Source organism: Homo sapiens, chromosome 14 (assembly GCF_000001405.40).
Source record: "Homo sapiens chromosome 14, GRCh38.p14 Primary Assembly".
Lineage (NCBI taxonomy): Eukaryota > Metazoa > Chordata > Mammalia > Primates > Hominidae > Homo > Homo sapiens.
This window is the reverse complement of record NC_000014.9, coordinates 91,929,520-91,949,186: the sequence shown is the minus strand read 5'-3', so window position 1 is coordinate 91,949,186 and position 19,667 is coordinate 91,929,520. Positions and strand designations below refer to the sequence as shown.

The following is a 19,667-nucleotide window of genomic DNA, read 5'->3' as shown; positions in this document are numbered from 1 at the left end:
CTATGTGAAATTACCAATATTCTACTGTTTTGACCCACAAAATATATTGGAAACCCTTCAATAGCAGTGCATACGGAGCTGTTTCAGTCTTTTTTTCAAAATAAGATATAACATACATAAGACTTCACAAATATTAAATGTACACACCCCTACATAACCAGCATCCAGATCAATCATTAGATTATTACCAGCACCCAGAAGGGGCTGGGCTGCCTCCCAGTCACTATCTGACTTTGAATTTTATATAAATGGAGTCGTTTGATGTGGACTCTTAAGTGTCTAGGTTTTAATTGGTTGCACAATAGTCCCTTTGGAAGCCCCTTACTTTATTTAACCCTATTGGTGCCTTGCTGATCGACCTTAAAGGTGTTTATAATCTTTTGCTTTTACAAACAATGGGGGGATGAACAACCTTATAAACATAAGGTATTTAAAAAAGTGTTTTACAGGAAATTTCAAACACGTAAAAGGAAATAGATTAGACTAGTATAATGGACACAGCTTCAACAACTATCCACATTCTGTTATTCTCCTTTGGGTAGAATTCCATTTACTTACCCCCAAAAATGCCTTAGGGAAGGCTAAATATGTAGACTCCAGAGGCTCAGCTGTACCAATGAATAGCTGCGTGACTATGGGGAGGTTACCTAACCTCTCTTATCTTCACCTCTAATAACATGGAGATGATCATTCCTACTGCTTAGAGTGGTGGTGAGGACAGGGGACCTGGATCAGGGCTTTTCGGCTGCAGGTAGGAAGATGCAGGTGGAAGCAGATGGGATAGGCCACAGTCCATCCACTGGCGTTTTATAGAGTGAGTGCCTTCTGTAAGATTTCATTGACAAAAGTACTCCAATGGCTTAAAAACAAACAAACAAACAAACAAACAAACAGGAAAAAGAAACAGGTTGAAGCCTCCACTAGAATGAATGCAAAGGACTCAGCATGTCTTATGTGCTGTCTCCACCATTCTGCTTTTCCAGACTGTCCCTTCTTCAAATCACCGTTTAACTTGTTAAAATCACTTTCGAGCCAGGGGACACTTTTCCAGGAAAGCGAGAAAATGCCAGGGAGAATCGGGGAATGAGGGCGGGGAGAGAAAAGCGTCCTAAGACTTGCATTGCACAAGCTGAAGTCTGGAATTCGCACCAGCGGGATTCCATCCTCTTCCCCCCCACCCCACCCCGCTGCTCCCCACCCCTTCTTCGGGAAGATCGCGACTCTCCCGTCGCTCGCCCCAAGCCTCTGCTTCGTAGGTTCTGGTTTCCCAATCGATCGTGAGTTTCTAGTCCCTGGAGCTGCGTGGGTCGTGAGTTCAAGTCCCTTTCCTTCCGGAGGCGACAACGTTCTCGCGGGTCCCCTTGCCACGCAGCGCGGGCGTGCACGCCCCTCCCCGCCGGGCCGCGCTGCCAGCCCCGCCCCGCCCCTGGGTGGGAAGGTCAAGGGGCCCGGGCCCTCCCAGCCCCCGCACCCCTGCGCGCGCCCGCCCCTCGCCTTCTGCCCGGGCGCTCGCAGCCGAGCGCGGCCGGGGAAGGGCTCTCCTCCCAGCGCCGAGCACTGGGCCCTGGCAGACGCCCCAAGATTGTTGTGAGGAGTCTAGCCAGTTGGTGAGCGCTGTAATCTGAACCAGCTGTGTCCAGACTGAGGCCCCATTTGCATTGTTTAACATACTTAGAAAATGAAGTGTTCATTTTTAACATTCCTCCTCCAATTGGTTTAATGCTGAATTACTGAAGAGGGCTAAGCAAAACCAGGTGCTTGCGCTGAGGGCTCTGCAGTGGCTGGGAGGACCCCGGCGCTCTCCCCGTGTCCTCTCCACGACTCGCTCGGCCCCTCTGGAATAAAACACCCGCGAGCCCCGAGGGCCCAGAGGAGGCCGACGTGCCCGAGCTCCTCCGGGGGTCCCGCCCGCGAGCTTTCTTCTCGCCTTCGCATCTCCTCCTCGCGCGTCTTGGACATGCCAGGAATAAAAAGGTGGGTTCTCGGCGCTGGACTTTTCTTTCTCCAGGGTCTGGAAGCCTTGCTAAAAATCCGATGGGTGGAAAATGGTTATGGCTGCGATTCAGGCGGTGTCAGGATATTGGAAAAGGCATGAGCTAGTGATGCAATGATATTGTTAATTATAAAAAGCTGCGCCTCTGTAATTTCCATCTTGAAGCGTTCTTTTGGGAGTGGGTATTTTCTAATACAGTTTCAAAAGCCAGCATCAGAGAGGGCTGCGAAATTCTCAGCGCTTCATTCCTCTTTCTTTTCTGGAAAGGGCAGCAACTTTGTCGTTTTAAGGGATTTTTGTATGTATTTTTTAAATTTCGGGAGGCCAATTACTAGTTCACTAGCAATTACTGCGCCGCATCGGCTGATAGACAAGCAGACAGGCTAGCTGAACACCGCGGGGCTGGATTTGCTCTATGTTTGTGTGGGATTCTCACAGAAGTTTCAAGCCAATGAGAAGTGGGAACTGCAGACAGAGATACATGTAAGCAAATGTTTTGCTATTCTTTAAGGAAATTGCAATTACAGTTAAGTAATCCTTAAGTCTTGGAGAACTTTACCTAAATGACACCCACAGTCTTTATTCAGCGAGCTCTTGAAAACATACTGCTTTGAACAAATTAACCTTGTGTGCGTATGTATGTGTCTGTGGGGTGTGTGTGTGTGTGTGTGTGTGCTGAAAACTAAGCTGTAACAATGTCATCCTGGATTGGGGACCAGCACTTCTGTGACAGGCAGTCCTGGTATTTGGTTGGTCTCTCCGGCTTTCCTTGTGTTTCAGGCTGAGGCACAACACCGGCGAACCCACCTGCTTTAGAAAGTTCCCAGGACCGGTTATGAGCACCAACCTGCCTCCCCCCAGCTATTCTTATAGTTAGTTCATTTTTGGAGTTTCCAGGGTTTTTTTTTTTTAATCACAAGGTGCAGCTATTCGTGATGCTGTGAGGCAGTAGTGCTTGGGTATTCTTTCATTTTAGGAAAATCCTATTAGCCTGGAACCTGTTTGGCCCCCAGGACTCAGCTGTGGCTCTTCCAAGAGGCTGGGCTTGAGGCAAGACCTGTCCCAGGGCTGCCTCTAGCCAAAGGGAATGGGGCTGCGGGGAGTAGGGGGAAAGATGGGGTTAGCATGCCTTTTCAACTAGCTCTTGAAGTCCACTGTGTTGCAGTCAGCCTGTTCTTTCTCCAACATAAACGAGACAGGGTTTTATAACCAACTGAAAGGAAACTTCATGTGAAGAAACAGGAAAACATTGAAATTCATAATACACAGACTGGAAAATAAATTTGTTATTGTTCTTTCATTCCTTCCAGATATAAATCTGGCCATGGCAAATATCAAAAAGCCCTGGGATTTGGCTCTGCACTTTATAAGGTCAGAGCTGTCTCCAGCGTTCTAGAATCTGGCTCACCCAGGCACTTACATGAAAACTTGTGGACTCTCAGCGTCCTTATTTTTTGGATTGGGGACTCGATAAAGGAAATGGCCTCGCATCTCCTAAGATCGTATCAGGGCCCTATTCCCTCTGGATGTCAGCTTAACTCCAGGTCCTCTAATACCCAGGGTTGCTGATGCAGATGGGCCATGTGTCCTGAAAGGGAGGGATTATATTGTTGTGGTGCACGTTTGTAGTAACGGGCCCCAGAATTCAGCCATGTCCCCAGGTTCACTGCTCTGTTGAAGAAGCCTTCAAGATCACCTTCTCCAGGAAGTCTTGTTGCTACCCACAGCCTGGTTGTTATGGCACCCAATAGGTATTTCTTTCCATGCCCTTGCCAAGGTGTATGGACATTGTCGTGGCTCCCCAACTGGTTCTCAAGGGTAGTGGTTGTTTCACAGTTCTGTAGCTCCTCCATCTGGCATCCACACCCACAAGCAGTAGTTGCTTGGATAAACTGCTGTTGAACTGAATAATAGTACTAGATAACGCTCTGCTTTTGTTTAGATTTTCTTTTTTTTTTTTTTTTTGAGACGGAGTCTCGCTGTCTCCCGGGCTGGAATGCAGTGGCGCAATCTCGGCTCCCTGCAACCTCTGCCTCCTGGGTTCAAGTGATTTGTCTGCCTTGGCCTCCAGAGTAGCTGGGACTACAGGCGCCTGCCACCACAGTCGGCTAATTTTTGTATTTTTAGTAGAGACGGGGTTTCACCATGTTGCCCAGGCTGGTCTCAAACTCCTGACCTCGGGTGATCCACCCACCTCGGCCTCCCAAAGTGCTGGGATTAGAGGTGGGAGCCACCATGCCCAGCCTGATTTTGTCTTTTTTTCTACCATAACCATTTTGAAGAGTCTAGTTCAGTAGTGTTAACTGCATTCACATTGCTGTGCAATCTCCAGAACTCTTTTCACCTTGCATGACTGAATCTCTGTACCTATTAAACAATTCCCCATCTTCCCCTCCCACTAAGCCCCTGGTTACCAACATTCCACTTTTTGTCTCTGTAATTTCGACTACACTAGGTGCCTCGTATAAATGGACCCATGCAGACTTTGTCTTTTTTGTGAGTGGCTTTTTTCACTTAACATAATACAGTCAGGGTTCATTCATATTGTAGCATGTGTCAGAATTTCCTTCCTTTTTAAGACTGAATACTATTCCCTTGTGTGTACAGACTGCATTTTGTTTATCCATGTATCCATCGAAGGACTGCGTCCACCTTTAGGCTATTGTGAATAATGCTGCTATGAACACAGGTTTACAAATACCTGTTTCAAGTCCTTGCTTTTAATTTTTTGAGGGTATATACCTAGAAGTAGAATGGCTGGATCACATGGAAATTCTATGTTTAGTGTTTTGGGAGTCATCATACTGTTTTCCATAGAGACTGCACCATATTTACACCAACAGTGCACAGGAGTTTCACTTTCTCCACATCCTCCCTAACGCTTGCTCTTTTCCATTTTTTAATAGCCTCATGAGTGTGAAGTAGTAGAGATTTTGTATTTTTATTTTGTTTTTATTTTTTGAGACAGAGTCTCGCTTTGTCTCAGAGCGTGTACCACCATGCCTGGCAAATTTTTGTATTTTTAGTAGAGAGACAAGGTTTCACCATGTTGGCCAGGCTGGTCTCGAACTCCTGACCTCAGGTGACCTTCCTGCCTCGGCCTCCCAAAGTGCTGGGATTACAGGCATGAGCCACCACACCCGGCTGCTTTTGTATTTTTAAAGCAATCTTGCTGGCCACAATCTTACTGGATTAAAGCCTGTGCGTGGCGAAGGGCAGAGTTGCAGACTCCCAGAGCATCACTGTCTTGTGCATGGCAGAACTGAGCCCAGGGTGCGTGACTCCTCCTCCTGTTTTCCCGCGGGTTTCATTTTCCCTGGGCTGTGCAGGTTCCCCGAGTCCTTTCCTCCATCAGGACCTGCTGGCAGCAGTTCCCGCAGGCCACACTCTTCAGGGGACAGGGCCACCCCAACCCATCCACTGATGGGGGATTTTCACACATGTGGACTCAATGCTCTGGTTCAGTGACTTCCTGTGACACCTTTCTTTGGTGCCACTCAAAGTGCCTCACATTCTCACTTTCTTTTCCTTTCACTGTTTGAGGGCATGATGATGGCTTATTCACTCTGTAATCATGTCAGCATAAAGATGTTCAAAAGTCAAGCACATCTCGCATAAAGAATAAAGACCAAGGAACTGGTTAATACCATAGTGGGAGGTTTTAGCTTTTTTGGGGGGTGGGGGGAGGACAAGGTCTCGCTCTGTCACCCAGGCTGGAGTGCAGTGGTATGATCTCAGCTCACTGCAGCCTCAAACCCCCTGGGCTCAGGTGATCCCACCTCAGCCTCCTGAGTAGCTGGGACTTTAGGCGCGTGCTATCATGCCCAGTTAATTTTTTTTTTAATTTTGTAGAAATGGGGTTTCACCATGTTGCCCAGGCTTGTCTCAAACTCCTGGGTTCAAGCAATCCTCTTGCCTCAGCCTCTCAAAGTGCTGGGATTACAAGCGTAAGCCACCGCACCTGACCTTAGCTTTTTTTTTTGAAGCAGCCAAACCCTTTATTAAAAAGTGTGATCTAACACATGATCCCAATGCAGGAGGCAAGTAGAAGAGGTGTGGTTCTGCTTGGGTGGTCGCGGTGTCTGGAACCACCATGACCTCCCTGGAGCACACCCCACCCCATACAAGCCCAAGGTGATATCACCGTTACACGTCACGGGCCGCATGCGACCCACACTCCCCTAGACCTGAATCTGTCTTGGGCATTTATATTTGACTTTTCACCTCCACAGGATACTCACTGTTACCATTCTGGCTCTCTGTCTTCCAAGCCCTGGGAATGCACAGGTAAGATTTTTATTTTTAAAAAATATCTACAAGCGTATTAAAATCCGGGGTGAGGGAGTCCAGCCTTGCGCTACGGAACCCTAGGTTTGTGGGGGTGGGAGTGGCTTTACAGTTGACCTCATCTGAGCTCTTCATTCTCAGAGGTTAACAGTGGAAGCTCAGAGAAAGTGAGACTTGGCCCAGGTGACATGACTTGTAAGTGACAAGGCTGGGGCTGGTACTCAGTTTCCTGACTCCCAGTCCAAGACTCTTTTCTATTTTATTATAAGTTCTAGGGTACATGTGCAGGATGTGCAGGTTTGTTACATAGGTAAATGTGGGCCATGGTGGTTTGCTGCACCTATCAATTCATCACTAGGTATTAAGCCCAGCATCCATTTTTAATCAGATCACATGGCCTCATTTGTGCCCCTCACAGCAGGCCTCAACCTACCTTCAGTGTTGAAAAGTAAAATATGCTGTAGTGTTTCTGGGCAATGGCACCTGAGGACCCCCACGGGTCTGCATGTGTTGCCACAGACACACCCCTCCTGGAGGAGGTGGGAGAGGAAGTGGGTGTTACCCAAACATCCCAGCATGTAGTGTTGCATAATTCAGCTCCAAACCTAGGAGGGCCCATCCCTGGGCTGAAACCCCTCAGAGGAGTAAGAAGGGGGTGGGTGAGGCCAGGCTCAGGGCCTTAGGGGTTCTGGAAGAAGCTTGCAGCATCCTGGACTTTATTTTAAGCAACAGGAGAGATGGACCCCTGTGTGTCAGCCCTGAAATGTGGGCAGATCCCTCCTGAAAACTCCGAGTGGCCTCTCTGTGTCTCTGGCTCAGGAAAGAAGTGAGAGAAGCCCTATCTCTGAGCAGGCTGAGGGCTGCAGGCAGGTAGGGGAGCATTTTCTCTCTTCATATTAAGAATTTTGAAGCATATTCAGGCCACTGGCAATGGGAAGGATTTTGGGAGGAGTAACAAAGAATTTTAGACCTTGCGGTTTTCTAAGGCAGCCTCATGGTGTACACATGAAGACAGGTAGGCCCCAAGGGCAGAGGTTCAGGGTCGTGTTTACTGCACTTTAGGCACGTTATATAGATTAACATACATCGTCCTTACCACCATTTTGAACTACGTACATACCCCCCCATTTTACAGATGGGGAAACTGAGGCATAGAAAAGTTACGCAGAGAGTAGGGGCTAGAGTGAGAATTTGAAGCCATGCCCTGGTCCAGCAGTCTTGAACCTATGCCAGTCCTTGACAACCAGGGCTGGAACCTGGATCTCCTGGCCTCCCAGCTTCCCGGCACAGCTTCCTGGCTCGTCTGTTCCACTTCCTTTGCCCCAACTCCCTGGGACCCCTGAACCCTCTCCCGGGAGTGCAGGCCATATACATCATCTCTGCAAATCAACCAACAGCTCAGCGAAGCCCAACCTCCGAAGCTGTAGAAAAGGCCAGGGATGGGAGCTCCTAGAAAATGTCAGGCCCTGGGGTCTTCCTGAAGAGTCCACCCAACACATTTTTTTTTTAAGTACATACATTTGTAGCTCAAGTTGTATGTAAAAGCTACAACCCTCTGGAATTGTTGAGATCTATCTCTTTCTGGAAGCATCTTTATGTCGTCATCTTGCTGAGGTTGAAATGGAGAAATTTACTCAATTCAACTTTTCTTAGAAAACTGACCACATCTCTGTGTAGCTTTTATTTATGTACAGACATCAAAATCAGGTAGAGGATTTCATGGGGGCAAATAACTCATATTCGACACTCTGAAGGCGAGGTAGCACCTAAAGAAAGAGTCATTGCCCTTAAAAGCAGTCTTATTCATTCCCAGAAAGGGGATGAACAGGGAGCATGCCACATTAGGCTCAGCAGATATGATTCCTCTTGCTCTTCACAACTACAGCATTAAAAACCCTGAAACCTGTCTGCTAAAAATGGGAGCTATGAAGCAATGGTACAGGGAGTTTTTTTTTAAATAAAGTTTTTCTAAAAACACAGAGATGGGGTCTTGAGGGCGGTCTCAAAATCCTGGGCTCAAGAAATCCTTCCTCCTCAGCCTCCCAAAGTGCTGGGATTACATGCATGAGCCACTGCGCCTGGCCTGGTGTGGGGAGTTTAGAAAGTAGTTCTAAGTATAAAATAATTACAAGGAAAAATTTTAGAAGAACAAATAGGGGTTATAATACAGGTATTGGTATTTTGGAGGCCTTTCTTTTTTGCTCCATTTCCCCAACTTTCTGTGTTGCAGCAATAAGACTTTTATGGTGTGAAATGACCTTGCCTGTTTCTCCTCTCTCCTTCCCTGCAGGCACAGTGCACGAATGGCTTTGACCTGGATCGCCAGTCAGGACAGTGTTTAGGTATGAGCCACTGTGGATCCTTCATTGGGGTGGAGGCATTCAGCCCAGTTGCAGTGCTATTTATTTCTTTCTCTGTTGTTCAATGATTAGCCATGCCCATGGGAGAATACAGTGACATGGAATGACTGAAGTCAGTGGTGCCCTTTTATTGATCACCTTCTTTGTGCCTGGCCTTGAGCTAAGCACTGAGAGGGGTGAAAGAATTGATCTCTGTTCTCTTGAAGGTTTCTATTGGATTGGTGTTTCCTAGGGCTGCCGTAACAAATTACCACCAACTTAGTGGCTTAAACAACACCAGTGTATGATTTTACAGTTCAGTAGGTCAGAAGTTTGACTTGAGTCTCCACCAGAATAGAATTAAGGTGTCAGTAGGGCTGTGTGCTCTTCTGGAGGCTCTAAGGGAGACTTTTATTCCCTTCTGGTTGTTGGCAGAATTGAGTTTCTTGTGGTTGTAGGACTGAGGTTCTGTTTCCTTGCTGACTGTCAGTGGAGGGCAATTCCTACCTTTTAGAAGCCTCCTGCTTTCCTTGGCTGGTGGCTCCTCCCTCCATCCTCAAAGCCAACACAGCGAGTCAAGCGTTTCTCACTTTGAATCTCTTCTTTTTCTGTTGTAGCATCTCTCTGACCAATCAGCCTCTTCTTCTTCTACTTTTAAGAACTCCTGTGAATATATCGGGCCCACCCAGAAAATCCAGGATAACCTCCCCATCTCAAGGTCAGCTGCTTAGTAAGCTTAATTCCAGCTGCTACCTTAATTCCCCTTTGCCGTGTAACCCAACCTATTCACAGGTTCTGAGGACTAGGAAGAGATTTTGGAGTGTTTGTGGGGGTCATTCTCTTAGCATGCCATCTTTTGCAATGGACTCTGCAAAAGAAGAGGAGAAAGTAATACCTTATGTCCAGGGTCAATAAAGCATCGATGGGGCCGGGTGCGGTGGCTCACGCCTGTAATCCCAGCACTTTGGGAGGCCGAGGCGAGTGCATCACCTGAGGGCAGGAGTGCGAGACCAGCCTGGCCAACATGGTGAAACCCTGTCTCTACTAAAAATACAAAAAAATTAGCCAGGAGTAGTGGCATGTGCTTGTAGCCCCAGCTACTCAGGAAGCTGAGGCAGGAGAATGGTTTGAACCTGGGAGGCAGAGGTTGCAATGAGCTGAGATCGCACCACTGTACTCCAGCCTGGGCAACAGAGAGAGACTCTGTCTCAAAAAAAAAAAAAAAAAAAATTAATGGAGGTCACATTTGAATTGGGTATTGAAAGATGAATAGGATCCTAAGAAATGCCATTCCAGGTAGAAGGAACAGCATTAACAAGGACCAGGTGTGGAAAGGACACTCAGAGCATGGAATAGTTTGTTGTTGACAGAGCATAGGGCATATGAACGGAAGAAGACAGCCCTACTTGCCCCCATCTTAGGGGAAGTATTTAGCTTTTAAATTATATTTAATTTAAGCAAAATCATTTGTCTTCTCTGAGCTAACGTCACCATGCTCCAGAGGGGAGATAGATGGTTTGAAAAATCGATGAACAGTGAGGAATAAAACCCTGTCCTGGGAAATCTGGGCTTACGTTTTGATTTTAAAATAAGGTGTTTTGATTTGAAGATTTGATGAGGAATCAAGAGTAGAGCAGTGGCCTTCTTTTCTGGCCCCCCATTTCAGCGATGGCTTCAGGCTTCAAGCTGGAGAACAGGCTGTTGCATTCTGCACCTTGCCATTGCTTTTACCTCTGGTAGGATTGGGTGTGAGTTTCTCAGATGAGATGCTGGGGGTGAGTTGTCGGGTGCAGGCATGTGGTCTCCAGTCTCTAGCCCCGCACAGAGCAGACTCCAAGGCTGCTGACATGGCTCGGTATACGGGATCATGTCTACTGCTCGCTGGAGCCACAGTTCAGGCCTCCCCTGTCTGTACCCTAGCAAGGCTGATTTTCTAGAGAGTCCACCTCTCCCCTTCCAGACATAACAAGCAGAGCCCAGCCTGGCTAGAAATTGTTGGCTGGCACAGAGCTGACTTGAAAGCAAAGCTCTGCTTTCTTAACAAGCAACTAGCTGTCAGTCAAGCCTTTTCTTTTTTTTCTTTTTTCTTTTTTTTGTTTTTGTTTTTGTTTTGAGATGGAGTTTCCCTCTCGTCGCCTAGGCTGGAGTGCAATGGCGCAATCTCAGCTCACTGCAACCTCTGCCTCCCGGGTTCAAGCGATTCTTCTGCCTCAGCCTCCCAAGTAGCTGGAATTACAGGCATGTGCCACCACACCCATCTAATTTTTGGTATTTAGTAGAGATGGGATTTCCCCATGTTGGGAGGCTGGTCTTGAACTCCTGACCTCAGGTGATCCACCTGCCTCGGCCTCCCAAAGTGCTGGGATTACAGGCATGAGCCACTGTGCCCAGCCTAAGCCTTGTCTTTTCCTGATGCAAGAGACTCTTTCTCCCCTGACCACTGTTACTTGAAGTAGAAGTGGAGACAATTGTTAGGCCCATCCCAGTATTTTCAGAGTATAGTATGTGCACACGAGGATCCTTGATGTATTAGATGGTACATCTGCAGATAAACACTCTTTATTTTAATAGTGTATATTTATTTTTACTGTTACCTTCTACTTATGCTAGTTTTCACTTGCTGTAGTCATGTAAGACTTTAAATATACATTTATTTGGGCTTCAAATATGGGCTTACTTAAAGAAAGAGTATGTGCAAATGATAGTACAGGTTTGTTTTAGTCCGTTCTCTGTTGCTTATACCTAAATACCTAAAACTGGGTAATTTATAAAGAAGAGGAATTTATTTCTTACAATTGTGGAAGCTGAGAAGTCCAAGGTTGAGGATCTCCATCTGGTGAGGGCCTTCTTGCTGGTGGGGGCTCTCTGCAGAGTTCCGAAGTACGCAAGGCATCACACGGTGAGGGGCCTGGGCTGCTAGCTGAGGTCTCTCTTCCTCTTCTTAGAAAGCCACCAGTTTCATTTCCAAGATAACCCATTAACCCATTAATCTATGAGTAGATTAATCCATTCATGAGAGTACAGCCCTCAGGATCCAATCACCTCTTAAAGGCCCCACCACTCAATATTGCAACACTGGGGATTAAGTTTCAATATGAGTTTTGGAGGGACATTCAAACTATAGCAAGGTTTTTGTAGATATGGTCAAAATCATGATGGTGGTATTTGAAAGGCTGATGTTTGAGTGACACTGGTTACTTTGATACACTTCAGCCAACATTTGGGGTACCTTACCGCGATGAGTTGGGACCACCCTAGGTGTTTGGGAGTGCTTCCTCCACGCCTGGTACCGAGTTCTGCTTAAATATGCACCGGACACAAGGCAGTTGGGGTGCCACTAATGCTCGCCCTTTCTGTGCCTTTCAGATATTGATGAATGCCGAACCATCCCCGAGGCCTGCCGAGGAGACATGATGTGTGTTAACCAAAATGGCGGGTATTTATGCATTCCCCGGACAAACCCTGTGTATCGAGGGCCCTACTCGAACCCCTACTCGACCCCCTACTCAGGTCCGTACCCAGCAGCTGCCCCACCACTCTCAGCTCCAAACTATCCCACGATCTCCAGGCCTCTTATATGCCGCTTTGGATACCAGATGGATGAAAGCAACCAATGTGTGGGTGAGTAGCCCGGCCTTTTGTTCCTCTCCGCTGTGCTTTGGTGAAGACATCGTCTGTATCTGGCATGCTCACCACAAATGGGTTGTTAGTTGCCATTCAATGCACCAGTGAAACAATGACTTACTCTCTGCATACTTATTTCACTCTTAGCAGCCTGTATCTCTGGGTTCCTGCCCAACTAGGGAGGTTATTTTGCTGTTTTGTTCACAGTTCTCCAGAAAACCAATTTTTTTCTTTATTTTACTTTCATCTATCTACCTACCTATCTGTATCTATCTATCTATAACTCATCTATATATTTAAAGACCAAGGTAATATTTTCTCAAATAACCAATACATCTGGTCAGACTTATTACAGTAAGTAAATCTCAGAGGAAGTTCTAGACAGGGCCAAAGCTCTGTCCTCAGCCCCCGCACCCTTGATTGGAACATGTGCTTCTGCAATACAAGAAGCCTTGAAGGGCACGGCCAACTGTTCTGGAAAGAAAATTAGGTTACTTGGGTTGGAACTAATGTGCTTGTGACCAAAAGGAGCCTCACTGATAGGAACTCACAGCAAGAATGGACCTCCGGGAAGAAGCAGGCACAAAGGAATTGGCAAGGGGTGTGACCAAGGTGCGCTGTGATCGCGCCTGTGAATAGTCACTGCGTTCCAGCCTGGGCAACATGGTGACACCTTGTCTCTTAAGAAAAAATATATATGAATTGAAGTTTTATTACTTTTTTCCTCTACCCCAAAAGTTTGAGAGACCATTGGTCTAGCAAGATTTTTGTTTGTCCCATTTTGTTTTTTGTTTTTCCCATTTTTGTTTGTCCCAAGATTTTGTTGTCCCATTTCAGGGCTCTGGAGTGTTGAGCTGTAACCCACTATTAGGGAAGCTGTGTTGGTTAATTTAAGGTGTCTTCTATATGCTTATATGAAGGAGTGTGCATTCTCTTTTTAATACAATAATTGCAGACAAGTGTCTTCAGAGCTATGAGGGAACACTGGGTATGCTTGAACCCAAACTTCTGCATTTTCGCTGGTCTCAAGGCGTGTGGTCTCTGTGTGTGTTGGCGTGGGGAGAGAGAAAGAGTGAGAAAGACAGAGCTGGTTAATGTTTACCTTAAACGTAGATGACTGTGCAAAGGGAATGAGCGCAGGGTCCGGTCAAGCCAACTTTGGTGGAGAAGATGGTAACATGCTTCCTTATAACCAGCATCAGGAGGAAAGACCTTTGTAACTGGAAGGGACTTTTTTTTACCAATCTTTAACTTCAACTTCTTCATTTTGTAGAAAGGAGAGTGTGGACTCCAACCAGTTAGGTAATTACAGAGGTAGGATGCCAGTCCAGCTCCCCTAACTTCTCCCCTGTCTACAATCTCCTAACTATAGGAAATGACCTCTCCTATCTGGTAGAAAAGAAATGATCCCAAAAGAAAATGCAGAGATAGAGGTGGGAGGTGCTGCTCTTCCAGGATGTCACGTGGGGGCTGGATAAGCCAAGTGATCAGCCCTTACGTGTCTTGAGGTGAGGAAGAGGGTGTAATGATTCTTTCGAGGCACTCTGCGGTTTTGGCAGGGGGCCTTGGGTGGTCGTGGTGCAGACAGGTCTAGCTGATGCCTCGGGCAAGCTCAGCGGCCTCCTTTGCAGAACGGCTGGGAACTGCTGCGGCTTTCTCCAAAGTGTCTCCCTCCTTCCCCTAAACCTCTTTCCAGGGTCCCAGTGCCCTTGACAATGAGGACATGGCTGGGAAACCTATTCCTCCCCTGGTCCCTCTGACGTCATGCCATTTATGGCTCTGAACCTGTCACACGGGAGATGCGGAACTTTCATAATGGCCCTTTTGTAAGGAGAATACAATCTAGGAGCCCTAGTGAGGACTGGCACCAGGCCCATCCATTTCCAAAAAGTTCAGCATTATGCATTCATAAGTCCTGAGTTCTTTCTAACTTCCCTTCACCCCACCCCATGGTTTCCTGGTTTTACACAGGGCTTTCAAATGGCCCTCGCTGAGGTCCCTCTGCGTATTGTAAAGAGCTGGCATTGTGGGGGTGGGGGGAAGTAAGAGAAGGGATGGGAAAGGGAGGCTCTTTCTACCTACCGCTCCTTCCAAGAACTGGGATGGAAGAGAGGTGGGCCTGGGAGCAGGTGGAAGGGAAGCAAGGCACCGTGGCGGAAGGTGGGAGGGAAGGAAACCAGATGGGGGGATCATTGAGAAAAGACAAGGAGGTGAGTGTGGAGGTGTCACTGCCCAGAGAATGTGGGTGTTTTCCAGAGCACAGCTCTGATCCTGTGGAGGAGGCATTGCATGAGCAGTGGGTAAGTCAGGGAGACTTGGGAAACATTTCTGAAACTTTAGTGTTCTAGGAGAGGAGGAAACATCTCCAAAGGTGTCTTGTCCTCTTCATCAAAATAAGAATAGCGATCAACAGTAACATCCGCAGCAGCAGTGGTAATAATATCAAACACTTGGATAGAACTCGTGTGCTAGGACCTTTACAATAATTAATGCGCTTGATCCTCATAACCAGCTACAAGGTAAAACTATTATCATTCCTATTGTACCCATGAGGAAACCGAAGCAGAGAAACTAAGAAACCTGTTCAAAGTCACACAGCAAGTGAGGGGCCGAGCCATGATTTGAACCATTCAGGCTTTGAATGAGAAAACAGGCTCAGTGAGGTATAGATTTGTTCGAGGGTGCTCAGAGTCAGTGCTGAAGTCAGGATTAAAAACAAGGTCCTTCTCTTGCTATTTTTGTTTTCTGAGACAGGGTCTGGCTGTTACCCAGGCTGTAGTGCAGTGGCACAATCACTGCAACCTCTGCCTCCTTGGCTCAAGCGATCCTCCCATTTCAGCCTCCCAAGTAGCTGGGACTACAGGCATGTGCCACCATGATCCTCGATCACTGCAACCTCTGCCTCCTGGGCTCAAGTGATCCTCTCATTTCAGCCTCCCAAGTAGCTGGGACTACAGGCATGTGCCACCATGCCTGGCTTATTTTTGTATTTTTTTGGTAGAGACAGGGTTTTGCCATGTTGCCCAGGCTGGTCTCAAATTCCTGGGCTCAAGCAATCCTCATGCCTCGGCCTCCCACAATGCTGGGATTATAGGTGTGAGCCGTGGCACCCAGCTATCTCTCTTTTTTTTTCATAATGAAACTTTTTGCTCTGTAAAATTTTGAACCTAGTCAAAAGTAGAAAGAGCATAGTAAGCACCTACCTACTTATCACCCAACTTCTGTAGTTATCAGCACGGGCACAATCTCCTTTCTTCTTTACACTCTACTCAGTGCATTAATTTAAAGCAAATCCCAGACATCATATAATTTCATTCTTAAAGACTTCAGAATTATCTCTAAGAGATAAAGAAATTCTTTACAAAAACAAATTTAAGGCCAGGCACGGTGGCTCATGCCTGTAATCCCAGCACTTTGGGAGGCCGAGGTGGGTGGATCACCTGAGGTCAGGAGTTCGAGACCAGCCTGGCCAACATGATGAAACCCCCTAAAAATACAAAAATTAGTTGGGTGTGGTGGTATGCACCTGTTTTCCCAGCTACTCGGGAGGCTGAGGCAGGAGAATTGCTTGAACCCAGGAGGTGGAGGTTGCAGTGAGCCGAGCTCGTGCCACTACACTCCAGCCTGGGCGACAGAGCAAGACTCTGCCTCAAAAAAATAAAAAATTAAAATAAAAAAACTTCCAAAAAGCACAATACCATTATCAAACCTACAGAAGTCAATAATAATCTCTTTTTATCATTAAATATCCAGGTAGTGTTCAAATCTCTCTGATTGTCTCATAAATGCCTTGCAATTTCATCACAAATGGCCAGAAGAATCCCTGCAGTCCCCGGAGTAGCATGGCTCTAACAAAATCCTGCTTTCTCAGCCACAAAACATTTCACTAACATTAGTTATTGGAGTCCCTACATTTGCCACTGAGCCAAGTTGGTTAGCAAAGCCAGAACTTGGAATATCCACCCAGAGGGATGACAAGCTGAGCCCCAAAGGGGCCATGCATACGAAGCCATCTCAGCAGCCTGTTGTCTGTTGGTTTGTTGAAATCAGATCCATGCAAATTCTGCAAATTGCATTGGTTGACAAGTCTCTTAAATGTCTTTTAGTCTTTACTGTTTCCCTGGCCACTTATTTGTTGAAGAGGCTGAGCTGCTTGTTCTGTAGAATTTCATACGTTTCGGAGGTGGCTGATTGCACTCTTGCCGGGGCGCGGGTTATCTTATTCCTTCGTCCCCTATATTTTCTTGTAAGCTGCTCATAGATCTAGGGACTTGATCCAATTCAGGTTAAATTTTTGGGCAGGCTATTTTGCAGGTAGCATCTTTGATCTTTTGCCCTCTTCATGCACTGATTTCTTCTCAAAGTGTAAGACAGTCTGCCTTGGGGAGGCAAATGAGCATCCCCTTTCACGGCGGTTTACTTTTTCTAGGGTTTGGACCCACTTTCAAGGAAGCACTTCATCCCTTGGTGCCGCATGAAGCCATGCTGTTTCCATGGGCTGGGCGGGGCCGGGCTCAGCACCTGGGTGGCCAGTCCCTCAGAGCTTCCTCCTCAATTTTTCTCTTTTTGGTTCCACTTTGGAGGTGACTAGACCCTGTCCTTTTGGAACAATGTTTGGCCTTAGGTTTGAGTCCACAGGCCCCTAGGTGTGCACTTGGGACATTTCTGCAGACACAGTGAACAGTGACCTAGGAATTATAGTCCACGAGCCAAGCAAGTTTTGTGTTGTTCAGAAAACTGGCATCTTGGCATGACAGTGATGGGACTCATGGCTCATTAGAGTGTGTCACCCAGATCCTGGACCCTTGGGAGATCTGGTGACCAGATTCTCAGGGGAGGGAGAGCCAGACAGACATGGTTAACGGGTAAGCAGGGAGGGGCTGCTGAAGGAGAGCCTCACCCAACAGCTCACAATCAAGACCCAGACAGAGGCCAAATCAAACACATACGTAGAGTTCTGAGCTGGCCACATAGACATCCCAGAGAAGGACGGTGTGGGGCTGAGGATGGTGTGGTGCTGAAGCCTCAGGGGGTGGGGTGAGCTGGTGCCGAGTGGCTGGGGCACCCAAGATGTGGACTCCCATTCAGGAACCTTCCTCTCATGGCACGCTGCCTCTAAGACCGGGTCCCTGAACGTGGCCGCCACTCAACTCTGTCAACTCATTCCCTTGGGGGCTCAACTTGTCATCTCTCTGGGTGGACATTCCAAGTTCTAGCTTTGCTAACCAGCTTGGCTCAGTGGCAAATGTAGAGACTCCATCAGTAACTCATGTTTGTGAAATATTTTGCGGCTGAGAAAGCAGCCTTTTACTAGAGCCCTGCTACTCCGGGGACTGCAGAAATTCCGGCCATTTGTGAAATTACAAGCAATATCTTGATTCTCTCTTCTAGTCCAGGATTTTTGTTATTGTTATTGATCTGAGAACAGGCAGAGAGCAACACATGGAATCCTTTTGGAAGGTGGGTGGTGTTGGTCTGAGGCTTTCTCTTGAGTTATTTTTCCTGAAAGCCAGCCAGTACTTCTTCAGTCAACCAATGTGTACAGAGTGCTTTGTTGGTGCCAGGCTCTGGCCTAGGCACCGAGGGGGATGTGGAGTTTTGCATGGCCACGGAGCTCTCTCTAGAGCTTGTGGACAAGGAAGGGAGATTAAACGCAACACAAGCACAAGCAGCTGAAATTCAAGACGGCCTCTGATGAGTTCCTGAGATGGTATAAAAAGAAGGCAGAGATAAGAAGCCTTCTGGGGTGGAGGGGACTGGAACTGGGAAGTCAGACAGGCTTTGAGTCTCACCTTGGTTTGGCCACTTCCTACCTGTGAGGACGGGGGTTGGTTTCCTCATCTGTAAAATGGATATAACAATGCCTGTCTCACAGATAACATGTGCAAACACCTTGCCCAGTGTTTACGCAGAGTATCCCATAGTAAACGTTAACTGGGAAAGATTTGTGGAGAAGGCTGCTAGGGTCTTGAGATGATAACCCAGGGGAAGAGTCACAGAGTCTGAAAATGCATCAAACGTCTAATTCTTCAAAACCTTTAAAATGACCTAAAACTGAGCCTAGTACACATTTACCTTGCAGGCCTCGAACGGCTTTCCCCAGCTAAGCCTGATGTGGCTTCACTCGGAATCTGCTTGGAAATGGCAGCAGAACCTGGGATTATTTAAATTGTGAGACAGAAAAGTGGGAAGTGGGAACAAATGTGGCATAAAGGCCGGGGCAAGTAGGAACCTCAGCCCCTAATGCTGACAGGACTGTGGTTAGCAAAAACTAGGGAGGAGAAGGCGGCCTTCACTCCAACAGACTTTTCTTAGTTTTTATACAGTCCTCTGGCTTGGTCTGTAACTTGAAACTCAGTCCTCAGGCTGAGACCAGAAGGAAAATGCGTGAAACAGATCTGGAGGAAAATGCGTGAAACCATGAAACCGATTCTTTAGCTGCTGAGGGCATTGGGACTACGCAGGCCCAGAGAGGAAATGGGATCGCATTGAGGTGGGGGTTCTGCAGCTGGGTTCGCTCAGATGTCTTTGTGAATTGGCCCCAGCAAGCTTGTTCATGGGCATGGCCTCCCCAGGTTTCCCACCTTGCTGCAAGTCTTTCCCTATCATTGCTGGGATGATGGGCAAGTGGCTTCACTTCTCTAAACCTCAGATTTTCCTCCCGTAAACAGGGATAACAGTACCAACTGCCACAGGAAATTTGGAGAATTAAGTGAGATATGCATGCAAATTGTCTAACATCGAGGCTGGCTTATCATAGGGGCTTCCTAAGTTCGTTACTGTAATTATTGTTTTCATTATCTCAAATCTCATCATTCCGTGATGACTTCTCCTGCTCCAAACCCCTAGTCCTGTTATTCCATTATTTTTTATTCTTTCTTCTGGGAATTAGATTTAATAGTGTGTGTCGTTTAGGGAGTTGAAAGTTGAATTCTTGCCAATTTTCAGCAGTAGGAGTTGGGGTTAACTTGTGCTTCCAGGGAGACACAAACACAGACAGGACTCCAGGAAGTTGTCCAGGACAGCTGTTCCCAAAAGTAGCTGTGCCCATGAATCACCTGGGGAAAATGCAGTTCTGACTCAAGAGGTCTGGGGTGGGCCCCAAGGGTCTGCATTTTCTTATAAGCCCCCAGGTGATGCCACGCTGCTGGTCCAGGGAACACCCTTTAATTAGCAAGGCCCTAGTTCATCTGTCTATTTTTCGACAGAACTGTGTTTAAAGAAAGGTAGAAGGTTTATTTTTTTCATGCAATTTGTATATTGTTTGAATTTGTTAGAAGAATGTGTTACTTATTTAAAAACAAAACACAAACTGGAAAGAAATGATTTTAAGGCCTAGATTGAGGTAGCATGGTGTAGTGGTAAAGGGATGAGATGAGACATTAGTAAGAACTGGATTTTGATCCCAGATTTGCTACTTATTA

General features: G+C 46.9%; 1 protein-coding gene across 7 annotated transcripts in view; it reads left to right on the top strand.

The window, feature by feature from the left end:
- FBLN5 (fibulin 5) overlaps positions 1,493–19,667 on the top strand; it is a 78,284-nt gene continuing 60,109 nt past the window's right edge. For 2 of the 7 annotated variants that reach the window (NM_001384162.1, NM_001384161.1), the window contains exons 1-5: positions 1,493–1,974; positions 6,226–6,280; positions 8,571–8,622; positions 9,237–9,337; positions 11,986–12,240. In NM_001384162.1, coding sequence (NP_001371091.1) covers positions 12,030–12,240 — 211 coding nt within the window. In that variant the 5' untranslated portion in view covers positions 1,493–1,974; positions 6,226–6,280; positions 8,571–8,622; positions 9,237–9,337; positions 11,986–12,029. Of the gene's footprint in view, positions 1,975–2,154; positions 2,477–6,225; positions 6,281–8,570; positions 8,623–9,236; positions 9,338–10,734; positions 10,858–11,985; positions 12,241–19,667 lie in introns of those variants that run through there. The other 5 variants (NM_006329.4, NM_001384160.1, NM_001384159.1 and 2 more) reach the window with 3 other exon arrangements.